Here is an 18089-nt window from a genome sequence, read left to right as displayed (position 1 = left end):
GTTTGGATAGGAGTGGAAGGTTCAGGACCCAAAATACAATATTTTGCAGAGTAGGAGAGGTAGTGACTTCGGGGGAAAAATAAAATGTCTTCAAGACTAGATTATGGGGACTGGACTATATTTTATTAGCTCTGGAGAGTGGGAATAGCTAAACAAAAAAGGGACATGGACTGTAACCAGGTCCCCGAGACCTTCTAGCGGAATGGGAAATACTGAGCAGTTAGACTGTTCTCAAGAAGATGAAGGCCTAAAATAGAAAGGAACAGTAAGAATGGGAAAGGGCGACTTGCTGCTTCCTGGGAAGTTTTAATTTCAGATGTATTAGTTGATAACTGGGACCTTAGCTAGTCTGTCTTTGATAATAAAATGAAACACAAAGATATAAAGACATTTACTGAGTGATTGCAACTGATTTTAAACATTATGCTAGTAAAACATTATTATTTATTGTTTTAATAAATTACATTAAATGTTATGGGAAAATATATATGAAATTTACCATTTTCACCATTTTTAAGTGTATAGTTCAGTGGCATTAGGTATAGTCACATAGTTGTGCTACCAACACCACCATCCATCCACAGAATATTTTTCATCTTGCAAAACTGAAACTATGTACCCATTACACAGCTACTCATTCCAACCTCCTCCAGTCCCTGGCAATCATTATTCTACTTCCTGTCTCTATGAATTTGACTAGACTAAATACCTCATATGAGTTTTTAATTGTATTAAAAGAAGCAAAATTATAATTCTATAAAGTATATCTTTTTTGAAAGTACATCACTGATTATCATAAACCAATTCATAAAATTATTATGAAATGTGCTATTTTGTAGAGCAATGACTGCACAAGCTCACTAATTCACTGGAAGGACTCATGTAACTAAACATAAAGTTATATACAATAGTTAACAGTTATTGCAGCAAAGCATATAGTGAAGGATTACAGGAAAAAGACACGCAATAGGCAAAGGGGAATGGTCACAAACACAGACTTTCTTGCCTTCACTTTATGGGTATCACATAATAGATGCATCATTTTCTCCACCTGCAAATTGTAGATTATGTGGGAGCAATCTTTACCCAGGAAAGCCCACTTGAGTCTTGGACTCCAACATGGTGCAGACCCCAAACCAGGCATTAGATGCACATCATAAATCTTCATGTTTACTCTGAACATGCTGACAACCTGGTCCATCTTGATGCACTTGGGATGCATAGATGTACAGAACGCTTGGGATGTATAGAAAGAACATCATCACTCAGTAGCTACAAAAAAAAATTCAAGTTGTTTTGTTCTCAGAGTTTGCATGTAATCACGATTACCTATAGGCAAGAATAGAATAAAACAAGACTGCTGCATTAACTTTTTCCATATATATGTGTATGTGTATATGTATATATCTTTTATAACAAAATATACAAATATTCAAAGTCTAGCAGCTTTCTTATTTTTAATTTCATTTAGTCATCTATTTTTAAAAATATTTAGACAAAGACTTTCCAAATCATTTTTGATACATTTTGGATCTCTTGAAAAATTTTTTGAGTTCCTGGCATGACGTTCATTGTGCATGTAAGTCAATAGGACTTTGACCACTAGTCACAGAGAAAAATTTATCTCATTAATTAACAGTTACTCCAGTAAAAAATATTATTGTATAGTCCAACTTCCTCTTCAGAATGTAGAGAAAGCAAAGGGCACATGAAGGACAATTCCGGGTGCAGAAAGTTGGGTAAGGAGCATTAGCACAATATTCCTTGGAGCCCCTCAAATTTCAAAATTATGCCACTGAGTCTTCCCTCATTACTATAAATAAAATGCTTCTCTTTGCCTAGCCAGTCTGCCTATGTTAACTTCTCTCTACCACATTAAGGTGATGTGAACAAGCAATTTCAGTGGATTGGCTTATGATTTACTCACAAATACAGATTTTGGGGAGAAATCAAAGTAGAATCACAGACTTTTACTTTGTTTCTTCTTTTTTAGATGATGTGGAAGCTTAGTATCAGACAGACTTGCCCAAGCAGTGTCATATAATCAAAGGCAAAGGGCGGGATCTCACACTAGCAGTTGGCTGGAGCCAGGTTTACCAGGAAATATCAGCTCCAGGAGGAGGAGGAGGAGCTGTGGCACTGCTGTGCACTGTATTCCAAATAGTGCTCAGAGATCTGAAGAGGCTCGCTGTCAGCCTGCGGAGAAGAAGCGCTGACCCTTGGTCTATCAAGTTTTTGAATTACAGCCTTCGTTGGGAAGCAGTAGCTCCACCTCTGTTTTGATCGGGGGTTGGTAGCATTATGAAGTGGCAGAACTTTGGCTCCTGCTCTAGCCCATTAGAACAGCAGTAATGATTTGGTGAGCACCAGGCCTGCTCCTGGAGTGATCAGGAGCTCACGTTCAAAGCTTATGAATACAACTGATATAACCTAGGGGGTGGGTAAACTGGATTCCATCTTGATACCATTCCAGATTGATTTCACAGAACGTCACAGAAGGCCAACATGAAGACACTAGAGTTACTCCTTACGGCTTACTTCTCAGTCACCCAGTTAATTTGAGAGCTGGATGAAAATTCCTGTCTTATGTCTGTTCATTCAGTCTTTCAAGTAAATATAATATCTGATGAGCCCCAACCACGTACTAGGCAATAGGAATATGACAATGCAGAAAACATTGTCTCTATCCTCAAAAATTTTGATATCAGGTATTAAATATAAATATGTCACCTGGTGATTTCAATACGGAGTATAATAGGGACTATGATGAAAGAGGGATACGGTAGCACAAAAAAAGAGATACCTACTTCAGTCTTTGAGAATCAAGAAAATTGGAGTGATTTTTAATAGCTGAAGTACAAGTTATTTCTGTTAGAGTATGCTTCTTCCTAGTAGCTATTTTTTTCCCCAGAATGTATCACTGTGATATAGTTTTTGTTTTGTTTTAAAATTTCCATTATGATCCTCAAACATTGTCCAGTTTTTTGCATTTATGGTTAGATTATTTCTCTTGGTAGTGGACCATTCCTAGTTCTCAGGAGAGTAGATCAAAGTTATTTTCCCAGTTTCTAAATTATTTTTATCACTCACTAGCTTTGGCACCACACTAACATGTTGCCAAAAATTTGTTCATAGTGTCCCTCTATTATCCCTTTATTATCTGTTTGGTCATTAATAATAACATTATCTCTTTTATTCTTTCCCTGGTAATGTGTGCCTTGTCTCTTATTTTCTTGATCTAACTCGCTAAAGGTTTGTCAGTTTTGTTTAACATTTCAAAAAAACAAACTTTTGTTTTCATTGATTTCTTTATTGATTCTGTTTTCAGTTTTATTAACTTATGCTCCAATCATTATGTCTATGCTGCTTGCTTTTGCTTGCTTTTTACATAGTTTGCCTTTTTTCCTAGTTTCTTAAAGCAGGAGCTTGGCTACTGATTTGAGAGTTTTTTTTTTCTTTACTGATACAGGGATTTCAGGATATAACTTTACGTCTAGATACTGCTTTAGCTACATCTTATAAGTTTTAAGGTGTGTTTTAATTTTTATTCAGTTCAAAATCTTATCTATTTCCTTTGTAATTTATTCTTTGAGCCATTTTTTAAAAATTTTTATTTTCCAAATATTTAGTATTTTTCAGATTCTTGTCTCTGTTATAGAATTCGAATTTAATTCTGGTCAGAAAACATATTTTATATGATTTCAATATTTTAAAATTTATTCAGACTTATTTTGTGGCTAAACACAAAATAAGTGTCCATCCAGGAGAATATTTGATATGCAATTGAAAGAACTTGAATACTGTAGACTTTGGATTAATTGTGTTAAAAATTTTAATTTTTACAATTTATCAATTTAGTTGATAATGTTGTTTAAGTCTTCTGTATTCTTGATGATTTTTAGCTGAGTTTATAAAAGAACCTGAGTAGCTAAGGCAATTCTAAGCAAACAGAACAAAGCTGGAGGCATCACATTACCCAACTTCAAACTATACTGCAAGGCTACAGTAACCCAAACAGCATGGTACTGGTATGAAAACAAGCACATAGACTAATGGAACAGAATAGAAAACCCGGAAATAAGGCTGCACATCTAAGACCATCTTACAAAAACAAGCAATGGAGAAAAGACTCCCTATTCAATAAACAGTGGTGGGTTAGCTGGCTAGACATATGCAGAAGACTGAAGCTGAACCCCTTCCTAACACCATACACAAAGTTAACTCAAGATGGAATAAAGATTTAAATGTAAAACTCAAAGTTATAAAAATGCTAGAAGACAACCTTGGCAATACCATCCTTAATATAGTAATGGACAAAGATTTCATGATAAAGACGCCAAAAACAATGACAAGTGGAATATAATTAAACTTAAGAGCTTCTGCACAGCAAAAGAAACTATCAACAGAGTAAACAGACAACGTACAGAATGGCAGAAGATTTTTGCAAACTATGCATCTGACAAAGATCTAATATCCACCGTCTATAAGGAACTTACACAAATTTGTAAGAGAAAAACAAATAACCCCATTAAAAGTGGGCAAATGATATAAACAAATATTTCTCAAAAGAAGACATATTTCATACAACAATCATAAAAAAGGCTCAATATCACTGATCATTGGGAAAATGCAAATCAAAACTGCAATGAGATACCATCTCATACTAGTTAGAATGACTGTAATTAAAAAGTCAGAAAATAACAGATACTGGTGAGGTAGAGGAGAAAGGGAACTGTTGGTGGGAGTGTAAGTTAGTTCAACCATTGTGGAATGCAGTATGGTGATTCCTCAAAAGCTAAAAGCAGAACTACCATTGGACCTGGTAATCCCATTACTGGGTATATACTCAGAGGCATACAAATTGTTCTACCATATACACACCTGCACGTGAATGTTCATTGAAACACTATTTACAATAGCAAAGATATAGAATTAACCTAAATGTCCATCAATGATTGGATAAAGAAAATGTGGTACATATATACCATGGAATACCAGGCAGCCATATAAAAGAATGAGATCCTGTCTTTTGTGGGAACATGGATGGAGCTGGAGGTTATTTATCCTTAGCAAACTAACAAAGGAACAGAAAACCAAATACTGCATGTTCTTTCTTATAAGTGGGAGCTAAATGTTAAGAACTAATGAAGATAGAGAGTATAACAGACAGGGGGGCCTACTTGAGGATAGAGGGTGGGAGGAGGGAGAGAACCAGCAAAGATAACTATTGGGTAGTGGGCTTTATACAGGGTAATGAAATCATACGTACAACAAACTACTGCTACCTATGTTTACCTATGTAACAAACCTTCACATGTTCCCCCAAACCTAAACTAAAAGTTAACAATTAAAAATAAACAATTGAGAGTTGGGAATATAATTTATTGAAGACGATTGTTGGATTTCCTATTTCAACTTTCAATTCTGCCAGTTTTTGCTTCAACTATTTTGGACTTTGTTGTTAGGTGCATAAACATTTTTTTTCCTCCCCTGAGTTTATCCTTTCATCATTATGAACCTGGTGGACCCTTTTGTCACTCTTTATCGTAATGTCTCTTTTCTTAAAGTCTCTCATATCTTAATGCAGTCACTCCAGCTCTTCTGTGGTTATTTTTTGACAGATATATGTATATCTTTGCCATTCTTTTATTTTCAACTTATTTGTGCTTTTGAATCTATGGTATGTCTCTCAAAAACACCATATAGTTAGTCTTGATTTTTTTTAACCCAATTTGATGATCATTACCTTTTTACTTTACTTATATTGTGGAATTTACATCTATCATTTTCATATTTGCTTTCAATTTGTCTTGTGTCTTTGTTGTACTTCTGTGATTACTTTACTGCCTTATATTGAGTTAACTATATAGTTTTGTTTCTCTGTTGATTTTTTTAAGGCAGAGTTTCACTCTGTTGCCCAGGCTGGAGTGCAATGGTGTGATCTCAGTTCACTGCAACCTCCGCCACCCGGGTTCAAGCAATTCTCCTGCCTCAGCCTCCCGAATAGCTGTGATTTTTTAAAACTATATAATTTTGACTTTTCTTAGTGGTTGCTCTAGAGATTGCAATAGAATTTTAATTTAATTCTGGTAAAACACTCAACCTTGTCCCCAAGTAGCTCAACTTCTCTCCTCCTTTGTGCTATGATTGAAATCCCAGGTATTAATGGTTTAGGATAAATATAATTGGAAGCCACTGAAGTGTTTTGAGTAAGGGAGAGCTAAGTTCAGATCTGCACACCCATGTTCATAGGAGATCACACTTATGAAAAGGTCCTTACACACACACACAAACACACAAACCACACACACACACACTTCCTGTTACCTAATAGGTGAATTTCATGCTGCTGGAAGAGCAAGAATTTCTGAATGAAAAAGTATGGTTCTATTCCAGCTGTTATATTGTTAAGTCATATAACATTGTAGAGTTAGTCCTTCTTGTAAAAAGGAGCTTGTGTTCCATAGACTTTTATGGCTCAGTCTGTGATAACATATATCAGCTTATGCTGCATCTTTGGCTGAAATATAATCATCACAGAGGTTAGTGCCCATATCCCTAGGTACCCAAGCAGCAAGTGCTAACTGCTCTGTTCTGTCAGCCAGATCTTGGCTCTTGCCCCTGAACCCTCTTCTTTTGCCAGCTTTCGTATACAGTGTAGAAACTGACTGAATTAATTGTTTACCCTGAATATGGTGGTTTTTAGCCTTACTGGTAAATCATCTTTAAGACAAATTTTATTTTCCAGAAGAAATATCATTTCTTATATGTAAATATTAGTAATTACATTTCAAGGAAAGAACAATTTGTTGGATGGCAATGTGTTATCAATGAGTCATTACAAAAAATTGTTAATTTCATTCTCAGTGGTAGACACATAATTCCAAAATAATATTTTGTTTTTTTGTTTGGTTTGAGACAGTTTTACTCTTTCACCCAGACTGGAGTGAAGTGGCGTGATCTCAGCTCACTGCAACCTCTGGCCCCCCAGGTTCAAGCGATTCTCCTGCCTCAGCCTCACAGGTAGCTGGGATTACAGGCGCCTGCAACCATGCACAGCTAATTTTTGTATTTTTAGTGGAGATGGGGTTTCTCCATGTTAGCCAGGCTGATCTTGATCTCCTGACCTCAGGTGATCCACACACCTTGGCCTCCCAAAGTGCTAGGATTACAGGCATGCGCCACCGCGCCCGGCCAGTTTTTTTTTTTTATATATATACAACAAATTTTTCAACAAAATCAGATTGTATATGACAAGTTCTCCATTGTTCTTTTCATAAAGTAACTTGCAGGAACTGACTCAAGAGTCTCTTCACATGAAGGAAAATTGCATGTCAGAGCTAAGGACAACCAGGACATTGAGGTGGAGGATGAATTACAGTCAGAGAAATCAAGTGATTAGCCATTTTTAGAAGGACCATAGAAGATCTAAAATCCACATAAAAAAGTAGTATTGATATAAAGGATTTATGGGAAATAACAGACAGAAGTCAGGAGGAAAACAAACTCAGGATCCAGACTGTTTCCTTAAATGTGTTATTTGTGCTGACTATCTGAGCCCTAAATATGTACAGGCAGTTTCTCCTTTAGGGAGTATTCGGGATTCTGACCTGCTGCATAATTTAGTACATTTAATATGACATATAAAATGGAGTAAAGTTAGACATTTATTGTGCTATGTCCACGTCATATTTAGAAATTACAGAGCCCTACTTTTAATAGGACAACATCAGGGATTGTATCTACTAAAGACAGAAAGCCCTTCCCACTATAATCTTTTCCTTAGAGAATTATGAATCATATGACCCATTGGGATACCTGGAAATGATACATTCCTATATTTTAGTTCTTATTGTGTATACTAAATAGATTTTAGAGAATAAGATTAAAAAGAAAGAAAGGAGTTGTAGAGTATTCACTCTAACCATGAAATTAGGGTGATGTGTGGAACTGAAATAAAAGAAAGAGGAGCATATGAACTGGAATGTAGATTACTCTAATTCCTTCAATAGCAAGAATGCACAAAATGATGCCAACACTGACTTTCTTTATTTTATCCATCTCCTGCAAATGAGAAATACGCTAAAGAAGATCTTTGAATCCTGATCAGTAAGACATAAGAACAAAGTAGGAGAAGACATTAGAACATTTGATCATATTAGAGGAGGTGGACTTCCCAGTATTTCTGTGAATTCTTTATAAATCAGAGGGCTTCACATCTTCTTTCCTGTGCATGGTGTAATTGTCTAGATGTGCCAGGATGAGGCTCATCATTTTACAAGCACAATATATAAACACATAGGGTAGTTAGAGTTTTTAATGTGAAAAATAAATTAACATTATATCACATAATTTATGGGAAATGTGCAATATATTTTATTGACTGCCTGTAGAACTTGGAAATATGATTCATATGAATTTGCCATTTCAGCATGATGAATTGATTGTCACATTGAGGATTATGGAATTAGCTGGAAGAACAGATGATTAACCACCACAGCATTTTGGCTAGTGAAGTTTTACCTTCTGATTTTTGAACATTAATAAATCACACTTCAGCATATGGGATTATTTTGGCAATAGAGTCACTTATCAATTTAATCATTTCAAACTAGAGTAATGTGTCAGTTGCAAATGCTGCAGACATGAAAACCAGTTCCTGAGAACAATTGAGTATTATTCTTACAGTCACATTAATTACAGCTGAAACAAACCTTGAAGAGCTAAGAAAACTTAGCACAACTTATCTACTATTTACCAGAAAAAAAAGAAATCGATACGGCCATTAATTGCACAAATAGCAATAAATACTTTGGCTCCTCTCCAGGAAGTGTACCAACTGAGAGAATTTTTCATATTGCTGGTTTCATTACACAGATCGTAGTCACAGTAAACCGGGCAGTGGACTGCTGTTCAATAAACTAAATTTAATGTTACTCAATTATGATCATCGTGCTCAGATATAATACTAATAGGAACATCAACCGCTATTACATTTTCAGATTTATGTAAAATAATTCAAATGCTATTTGCTGTCCCTCAGATACAAGGTTCATCCGGTTGTTTATGCAGTTGGTTGATATTGATCGTGCACAGCAGGTAGCATAGTAGAGGCCCAATGGCAAGTATATGTAACTTCCCCTGTGCCAGCAGCTAGGGTGCTATGCCAAGCACCAGAGGCAGCATGCCAAGTCATCAAGCAGATAGCGCACCTCTGCAAAGCTGCCTTGTTTTTTTTTTTTTTTTTACAATATTTCTTTGAATTGCTCACATGTGCCATGAATAATTCTTGCCAACATTACCCAGCATGAAACAGAAACGAAAGCAGGAAAATGTCTTTCTTAGAGAATTCTTTGCAAAGCTAAATGAATCCAGAGAAGATATCACTCTGGCATCATTTTATGTTGTTATGTGTGGCTGGGGCTGTGTCATTTAGCAAAAAAAATGTTACAAAAAACTGTTTCAGTGGGCTGAACAGCTCGTACATATGATTTTGTATACCACCTGCAAAAAATATGCCAAACCATATAATCAACCACCTGGCCAAGTTAAGTAGGGTAGCTAAACACTGCTTTGTTGTTGTACCCACATTTTCAGGAAGTTTGAGAACATAAGCAGACACAGGCACAATGAACATGTGTACACGATAAGGCTTGTTAAAGCTTTTCTGTTCAATAAAGCATACAGTGCCTGCTGTTCGGAGTACTGTTGAACAGATTTGCTTTATTTCTAATGAAGGTGTTTGGGCATTTTCCTGGCACAAATGGAGTGAAATTATGTACTTAAAACAACATCTTAAAACAACAACACAACAAACCACCACTTCTATTGCACTGCAACAGATTGGAAAAAATGAAAATAGATATAAACTGAAAGTCAATAATGCATTAGTGTTGTTACTATGGATGAATCATTCGTTTAGGAGAATCTTGCTTAGTTTTGAACAACCTACGTGTCTAGCAACTTCCACTGAATTCCTTGCTGCCTAAAACATGTGTTTATTATAACAGTCTCCATACCATTGCTCGTGGGGAAAATACTTTACAGGTGGCCTCTTTACTTATTTGGCTATAAGTGAATATGAGAGTAATTTGATTGTAAACTAATCTTTATATTACCAGATTTCCAGTGTCAGCAATGTCAATCTCATTATCTCACCTTTTCACTAGCTCAGCACTGGCTTGCTTTCTGTGGCAATGCACCTTTTAAAATTCTAGTCCCTCATTGTTTGACAGATTACTGGAGGAAGAACTAATAACTAGATGAGGGTATTCAATGTGAAACAAAGGGAGTTGCTGCTTACAGACCAAGGTCTCTTGCTCTCATTATCTCTGTGGCTCTGAGTTTAAGCTCATTAGATTCTCCCTTTTGTCTCTTTTTAATATAGAAAGACTGATTTGGGACTTGTTGACTCCATCCCAACTCCTTAAGAAAAACGTTAGGATTTTGAACATATAGAGAAGTTCTGCTGTGTAGTATTAGTTTTCTACTTAAAAATCTTTTTTATTTTGGGTGATTTGGTTACCTCTTACCCCAATTTTTTTTTCCATCTTTCATTTGAGAAGAAGTTTCCCACATGGGAGCTTTTAAAAGTGCATTTGCTTTGTGAGAATATATAGAGGTATTTTGCTAGTCATTTCAAATGTTCATGTTTACTTCTATTTCCTCAAAAAGAAAAAAAAGAAAATAGAGAAGAAAAAAAGAAAATAGAGAAGAAATAAAGAACTTTTAAAACCGATTAATAAATATACTATATACATTAAATGAAAAAACTAGAATAAGGACAACATGATTTTCTTTTAATTCAAAATGATCTCTAGAACAGAAGAATCTAAGAATAAAATAAATTTCTTATAAGCATATAATTAAAATATATTATGTAATGTTCTTAAAATTAAAAAAAACAACTTTGACATTTATGTTTAATGCTCACTATGAGATAAAGAATTTCTCCTCATTATATAACCTCCCATCTTTCCAACTGTCTACATTTTTTTGGTTTGGTTATGTGTATTTTCACTTTACAATTTTTAACTTTTGCTGTATGCTTTGAAATAGTAAGAACATTATCTACTTTTTAAATTTTTGGTTGACATTGAATATATTATGTTTGAATATATTATGACGTTGAATATCAATCACTTCAGAGCCCTGTATTACAGTTAGACTAACTTGAGAAAAGAAAATAATCCATAAGTCCCTAAACTTTGCCAAAGTACATTTTGCTAAACATCCGGGACAACTACTTTTCAAAAATATATTTGCACCTATTTTTCTTCATCCTGAAATCATTGTCAGTATTTTTTCTGCCTCATATCAACTTTCTCATATTCCTACTTCCACTTTTTTTTTCTTTTCCAAGAGAATCTTTCAGAATATTTAATTTTGTTTTTTTTTCAGAGTCTCACTCTGTCACCAAGGCTGGAGTGCAGTGGTGCCATCGTGGCTCACTGCAACCTCCGCCTCCTGGGTTCAAGCAATTCTCCTGCCTCAGCTTCCCAAGAAGCGGGGACTACAGGCGCATGCCGCCACACCCAGCTAATTTTTGTATTTTTATAATTTTTGTATTTTTATAATTTTGCATTTTTAGTTTCACCATATTGGCCAGGATGGTCTCGATCTCTTGACTTCATGATCTGCCCGCCTCTGCCTCCCAAAATGCTGGGATTACAGGCGTGAGCCACTGCACCCGGCCAGAATATTTAGTTTTATATAAGATAATGGTAATGAGCACTCTCATTACTTTACGACTGAAAATGTCTTTATTTTGCTTTACACTACAATATATTAACTTAGAATTTGAAGTTCAAAATTGTTTGCTTGCACAGTTTTCAAAACTTTCAAGACATCCCTCCACAGGTTTGCAGAATCTGGTGTTATAAGCACTGTATTAGGTCAGTCTGATTTCTAACCCTTGTGGGTAGGATGTTTTTGTATATACATTATTTCTTTCATCTTGCTTCAGTAATTTGTGAACAGTCAAATCTTTGAAGACTATGTTCAGGAGATTTTCCAGGGATTTTGTGTTTTCTATTTTGTTTGTAGTGTTTGTGTTTTCTATCTCGTTTCTATCACATTCTCAGCTCTGAAGCATAGGCAATTGTTAAACAACTGGAAGTAAATCTCCTTGTTAACTCTTCTCTTATGTCTGCTTTCTTTTTTCTTTTTTCTTTGGCTCTTTATATTAGGATGTGTTTTCAGTTTATTGTTCACATCAATAGCTGGCCCTTGAAACTTATCTCTTTCTCTTATCTCTTTCTAGCTATATATTGATAATATTGTTAATTTCCAGAAACCCTTTGTTACTCTTGTTATTTTCTTTCCTTAATTCCTTCATTCTTGCATCTCCTCACTTCCTCCCTCCCTTTCTCCTGTCCCCTCTTCTTCTATTGCTTCCTTCCTTTCCTCTTTCCATTCTTCCTCCTTTCTTTCCTTTCAAATATATAGTAGACTATTCTGGTTTTCTTGAAGTAACTACCTATCATATTTCCCTGATGATGTCAAAAGGAGTTTTTTCAATCTAGATGCAAATATTGACGTAAAATGTTATTTTTGTTCTTTTTTCTGTTACTGAAAAATGTTTAATTATATTTGGAAAATCCTGGGGATCTGAATCTACTTTCTCAATTTGTTTTATTATATGTAAATAAATCAAGTATTTCTGATAAAAAGCTAGCATCTGAAATTGAGATAGGGTATAAATGTAAAATCATGCTGGAGTTGCAAGAACAGTAAAATAAAGGAAAATATATCATTAATAGTTTTATATTGATTATATTTTGAAATATTTTAAATATATTAAAAAATGAAATATTAAAATTAATTTTAACTTCTTCGTGCTTTTTATGTGGCTACTAGAAAATTAAAATACATGTATGTTTCTTATTATATTCTTGCCAGACAGCACTATATATACCACAATATATACCACATGGCTGGTATATTTATATATATATATATATATATATATATATATATATATATATATATATTCATATCAGTAAATTCAATCAATCTGAAACCATGTTATCTCTATTTTGGTCTAGTGTTCCCAGAAATTACTTTTACCCACAATTTTTATTTTTTTGCCATATATGTATTAATATTATAATCTTTTTTATAGTGTGTAAATGTTCTGATCCTTTGGGACTCAGCATGCTTAATCTGACCTTAGTAGAGGCCCTGTTAGCACTGACAGGCAGTTGGAGGTGGACATGAGGTAAAACCCCTTCAGAGTCTATAAGCAAGGCATGACTCTGCGGGCAAGTGAGGCTTCATGGGAGTGGGAGTTTGGGAGTCATTTAAATCAAATAAATCATTTCAAATATCATCATTCTCAGTATCAGTCTCCAACTCTTTACCAATGAATACTCTAATTAGTGCATAAGATACTAGAAGATTTTGTGAATTTTATGTATGTTGTAATTTCTCAACCCAGAGCATCTGGCTCTGAATTTTTTTAGAGTGGTCATAGAAATATTTTTCTTTCTACCATGGCTTTTTTTTTTTTTAATAAAAAAAAGACTTAAAGCCTATCATGTTACTGCCCCTTTAAACTCACCAGTGTGTGAAACAACCATTCTTCCTCATGGTGTTATATTCCTCATTTCCAGTGTGATGGTATGGCAGCATCCATTCAGTCTGCCAAAGAGGGACTGTGAATCATAATTTAAGCAAATCATTTGCAATCTGCATGTACAGGTTACTGGCACTCTATTTGAAAATAATTTAATCACTGCCATGGAGATCAACCAGGAATCAATTCCAGATTCCTATCACCAGAGTGGTGCTGTAAGTTACTGCGTTATGTGAGTCTCATGACAGATAAAATCTACTCTAGATAGTTTAACAAGAAAGAAATTTAAGAGAAGAAATTAAGTTTAACATTGTTGGGTGATATAGTATAATATCCAGAAATGACTGTCAGAGCAATGCTTCCGAACTGCCTACCTATGGGAGCTATAAACTCTACCACTTCTGAAAATGTAAGAATGAAGGAGCTATCATCACAACTTCAATTTTCTAGGTTACATTGTCACTGTTGGTACAAAATAAATATCTGCGTAGGGTTTTGTGAACCATCTGCAGTATTTCTTCATACTAGTTTCCAAGAACAGGAAACTTAGAACCAGAGAAGTAAATTTGTGAGCAGACACTGTAGAAATCCAGGAAAAAAGATACTAATATGAAGAATATTATTATAGATAAAGAGAGGCACAAAATAATAGCAAAAGCATTTATACAGAAAGATATTATAATTCTAAACTTTTGTGTACTTAGTAACATATGATTAAAATATGCAGCACAAAAAAGATATAAACACATAGAGAAATAGACAAATGTACCATCAGAGTGGATGATTTAATATACCTGTCACAGTAATTGATAAATCAAGCAGACCAAAAAAAATCTATAAGGGTATAGGCAATTTGAATAACATAATTAACAAGCTTGATTTACATATATAAATACATATATTCTGAAAAGTAACCTTAATATAAATAGTAATGAATATACATTTTTCTGAAAAGAAATAATAATAATAATTTGTTGTTCAAGCACGTATGTATATTAAACTTTAAGCATGCTTGCCTTTTACTCCACAGGGAGACATTACATCTATCTTCCAAGGCTGTCTACTATGCAAAAATCCTTTAAAAGATAATCCTGGACAAAGGGTAGTCATTGCCTTGCTTGCATGACATAAAGACCCATGGAGAATTGTCTACTAATAATGGCCTGACTGAAATATGGCAGTTTTGAGATTACCCACTAAATATCTTAAATACATATCATCGAATGTGTCTTATGTTGCCTTTGAACTCTTAAAACACTTGCCACAAGTAGTTTTACAATTTTGTCGTGGTAAAGTAGTACACAGGTGCACTGAATTCTCTTTCACCTTTGAGCGTTTACTGGATGGTATCATGTGCTTAGAATTCTCCTTTTGCCTTTGCTCTTGCTATGGTTTATACTGGGTGTAGTATAATTCCCTGCCTCACTGGCATTGGGCTTGGACATATAATTTACTTTGGCCAGTGAAAGATGAGTTAGCTTCACACATGCTTCTGTGGACTTGCCTGGTTTAGCTTACACTCTAGGTGCCCTGCTCTGTGCCGTGAAAAAGAAAAATACCTTAGATAGTGATCGCTTCTTCAGCTTAGACCTTGTTTTAGTCCATTTAGTGTGGTAATAACAGACTACCTAAAACTGGATAATATATTTAAAAAGTTTACTTGGCTTATAATTCTGGTGGCTGGAAAGTTCAAGACCAGACAACTGCATCTGGTGAGGTCCTCTGGCTGTTCCAGTTCATGGCAGAAAGCACAAGAGGATCTCTTTGCATGTGCAAAGAGATCACATGGACAGAGGGGAAGGTGGGGAAGTGTCAAGCACTTTTTCATAACCAGCTCTACCAGAAACGAATAGTGTGAAATCTCCCTCACCCCCAGGGATGACATATTCATGAGGGTTCCACCCACCTGACACAAACACTGTCCACCAGCCCCACCTCCCAACATTAACACATTGGAGATCAAATTCCCGCATGAGGTTCAGAGGGCACAAACATCCAAACCACAGCAGTCCTAAAATGAAACATAAGCAGAACTGACCTGTGCCCATTCTTCAGGCTGAAACACAGGTGCTGCAGCCACTCCACAGATCTGTGTACCAAAAAAAAAAAAAAAAAAGAAACGGAAAAAAAAATGCTGGTGTTGAAAGCTACTGAGATTTTGGAGACTACTATGCAGAATTATTGAAACATAAATTGACTAATTTGGAGGGAATATTTTGTTATTTCCCAGACCACTGGACACCCAGAACATTTACTTAAGTCCAGATGTCTGAGATTTTGTGGGAATTAGCTCATATATTGTTCCAAATAAAGAATATTTCAGAAACTTTTGTCTAAAATTGGGCGTGGTTTTCAGTGCTCAAATCTAATTACTTCATTGGGTATGTTGTGTGGCAATTTTTTTCACCTCAACCCTCACACACATAATATGTGAAAATTGAAGCCTCTGTATCTGAGGTGTGGCTCATAAGCAGAGCAATTAAATTCCAACCTCAGGACCTCCTACTTAATTGGGTAATTCACTAACAATATCCATTAAAGTGAGGCTTTCTTACTGCTAATCCAGTTCCTGGGTAATTGCTTTGAGTTCTACAGAGGAAATCTAATCCTCCAATTTATAGTAGAAATGATTTGTTTCAAAGTAATTTCATATGGCTCTTTCTTTTTTAAAAAATGTTAATCATAACAATATTATACAATAATTATTACTTCCATTTTATATATAGATTATTAATATAATTCATAATATTTTATTAATAAATATTTTCATTTTACATATAAAGAATAATGAAAAATTAGATTATACCAGTGTGAGTGTGGGAAATATTCTTTGGATAATGATAGAATATTTTTTAAAAACATGCTATCAATGGATAAAACTCTAACTTGCAAATGAAGATTAAAGAAATGTCTGAATGAAACAGATTTGAGTATTGGTGCTTATACAAGACTTCAATTTCATGAACTATCATTATAAAATATTTTTTGTAAATAGGCTGGAGTCTATATATCTACATATTTACATCTATATCCTTATGAAACTCTCTAGAATTTTCAAAAATATTTAATATATATCCATTATCTATGTCTTAAAGAGTTCATCTAAAGTAAGAAAAAGCAACTAGCAAATAACTAATGTCAGTAAAGACCCACCTGCTATTACTTAATCATACCCATATTCTGCAGCAAAACAGCCATGTCAGGGTCATTACTGAGAAGAATGTCAAATTGGCCGATTTAATGTTACTTAGGGCTTACTTTATCTATATAACTGTCTCAGATAAGAATTGCAAGCTAATAATAATTACATTAGTGTCAGAAGTGTAGGGGACACCTATGGTTTATTTAGTAGGGAAAGATAGTTTTAATGTTTAAATTGAATTTTACTGTCTACTTCAAGATAGTTAAAATAGCATATGTAAAATATTCAGCCTCCCCTTTAATGGTTGATAGCTGAAAAATACAATATTGTTTGAAATAGCTTGTCTGCTGCTACCTCAGTCGAAGTTGCTTGTCTAAAGGCATGTGGTAGCTTAACTCGGTTATTCACAGATATAAATAATGTTACTATATTTTTATGAAATACAATTTTAAAACATTATTATTATTATTATTAGAGACAGAGTCTAACTCTGTCACCCAGGCTGGAGTGCAGTGGTGAGATCTTGGCTCACTGCAACCTCCCCCTCCCGTATTCAAGTGATTCTCCTGCCTCAGCCTTCTGAGTAGCCGGGACTACAAGTGTGCACCACCAAGCCTGGCTTTTTTTTGTATTTTTAGTAGGGATGGGCTTCACCATGTTGGCCATGCTAGTCTGGAATTCCTGGCCTCAAGTAATCTGCCAGCCTCAGCCTCCCAATGCGCTGAGATTACAGGCATGAGCTACTGAGACCAGCCACATTTTTAAAATATCTTATTATTAAAAGTTACCAACCATCTGTACTTCATTTGTACCCTGTGGATTTAAAAACATTATTCCTTTTGGTATAATGATGCATTTTCCAAATTCATATACCTAATAGGAAAAAAATCTTTACAAAAGTAAATTTGTATATAATAACCTTTAAAGTAATGTGATCTGCATATGATCATGGTTCTCACGCACAGATACAACACACACACTCCAGATTTCACACACACACACACACACACACTCACACATTCCATATTTGACATTGAGCCACCAGAAGCAATTATGAAAGAGTAAAAAAGGATACAGAAAACTAGTACAACCTGTAAAGCTATTTTGGAAATGGAGCCTATCTATATAATTTTTAGAAATTCTTAATTTTCAAAGACAGTGAAGATTCCCCAGTATATATGTGTCACTCATATAAACTAAGTAACAACCACCTTAAAAATATTTGCCATCGCCACAATAGTAGGTTGTTTTTGTTTTAAAACTTTCCTATCTTTAAAATGTTAAGAATGATTTGTTACCACATCTTCATTCATAATAGAAATGTTGAACATGGAGAATAGCAACAAAATTTAGGTTGATAGTATGTAAAGA

At 34.7% G+C, this 18089-nt stretch overlaps 1 long non-coding RNA gene across 1 annotated transcript in view; it reads right to left on the bottom strand.

The window, feature by feature from the left end:
* The window catches only part of LINC00348 (long intergenic non-protein coding RNA 348), a 153277-nt gene that overhangs the window by 9567 nt on the left and 125621 nt on the right, over window positions 1–18089 (bottom strand). The window contains exon 2 of the long non-coding RNA NR_047699.1: window positions 15615–15665. This is a non-coding gene — a long non-coding RNA (long intergenic non-protein coding RNA 348). The remainder of the gene's footprint in view (window positions 1–15614; window positions 15666–18089) is intronic.

The sequence above is a fragment of the Homo sapiens genome, chromosome 13 (assembly GCF_000001405.40).
Source record: "Homo sapiens chromosome 13, GRCh38.p14 Primary Assembly".
Lineage (NCBI taxonomy): Eukaryota > Metazoa > Chordata > Mammalia > Primates > Hominidae > Homo > Homo sapiens.
Note: the sequence above shows the minus strand (reverse complement) of the source record. Positions and strands in the feature narration are given on the sequence as shown.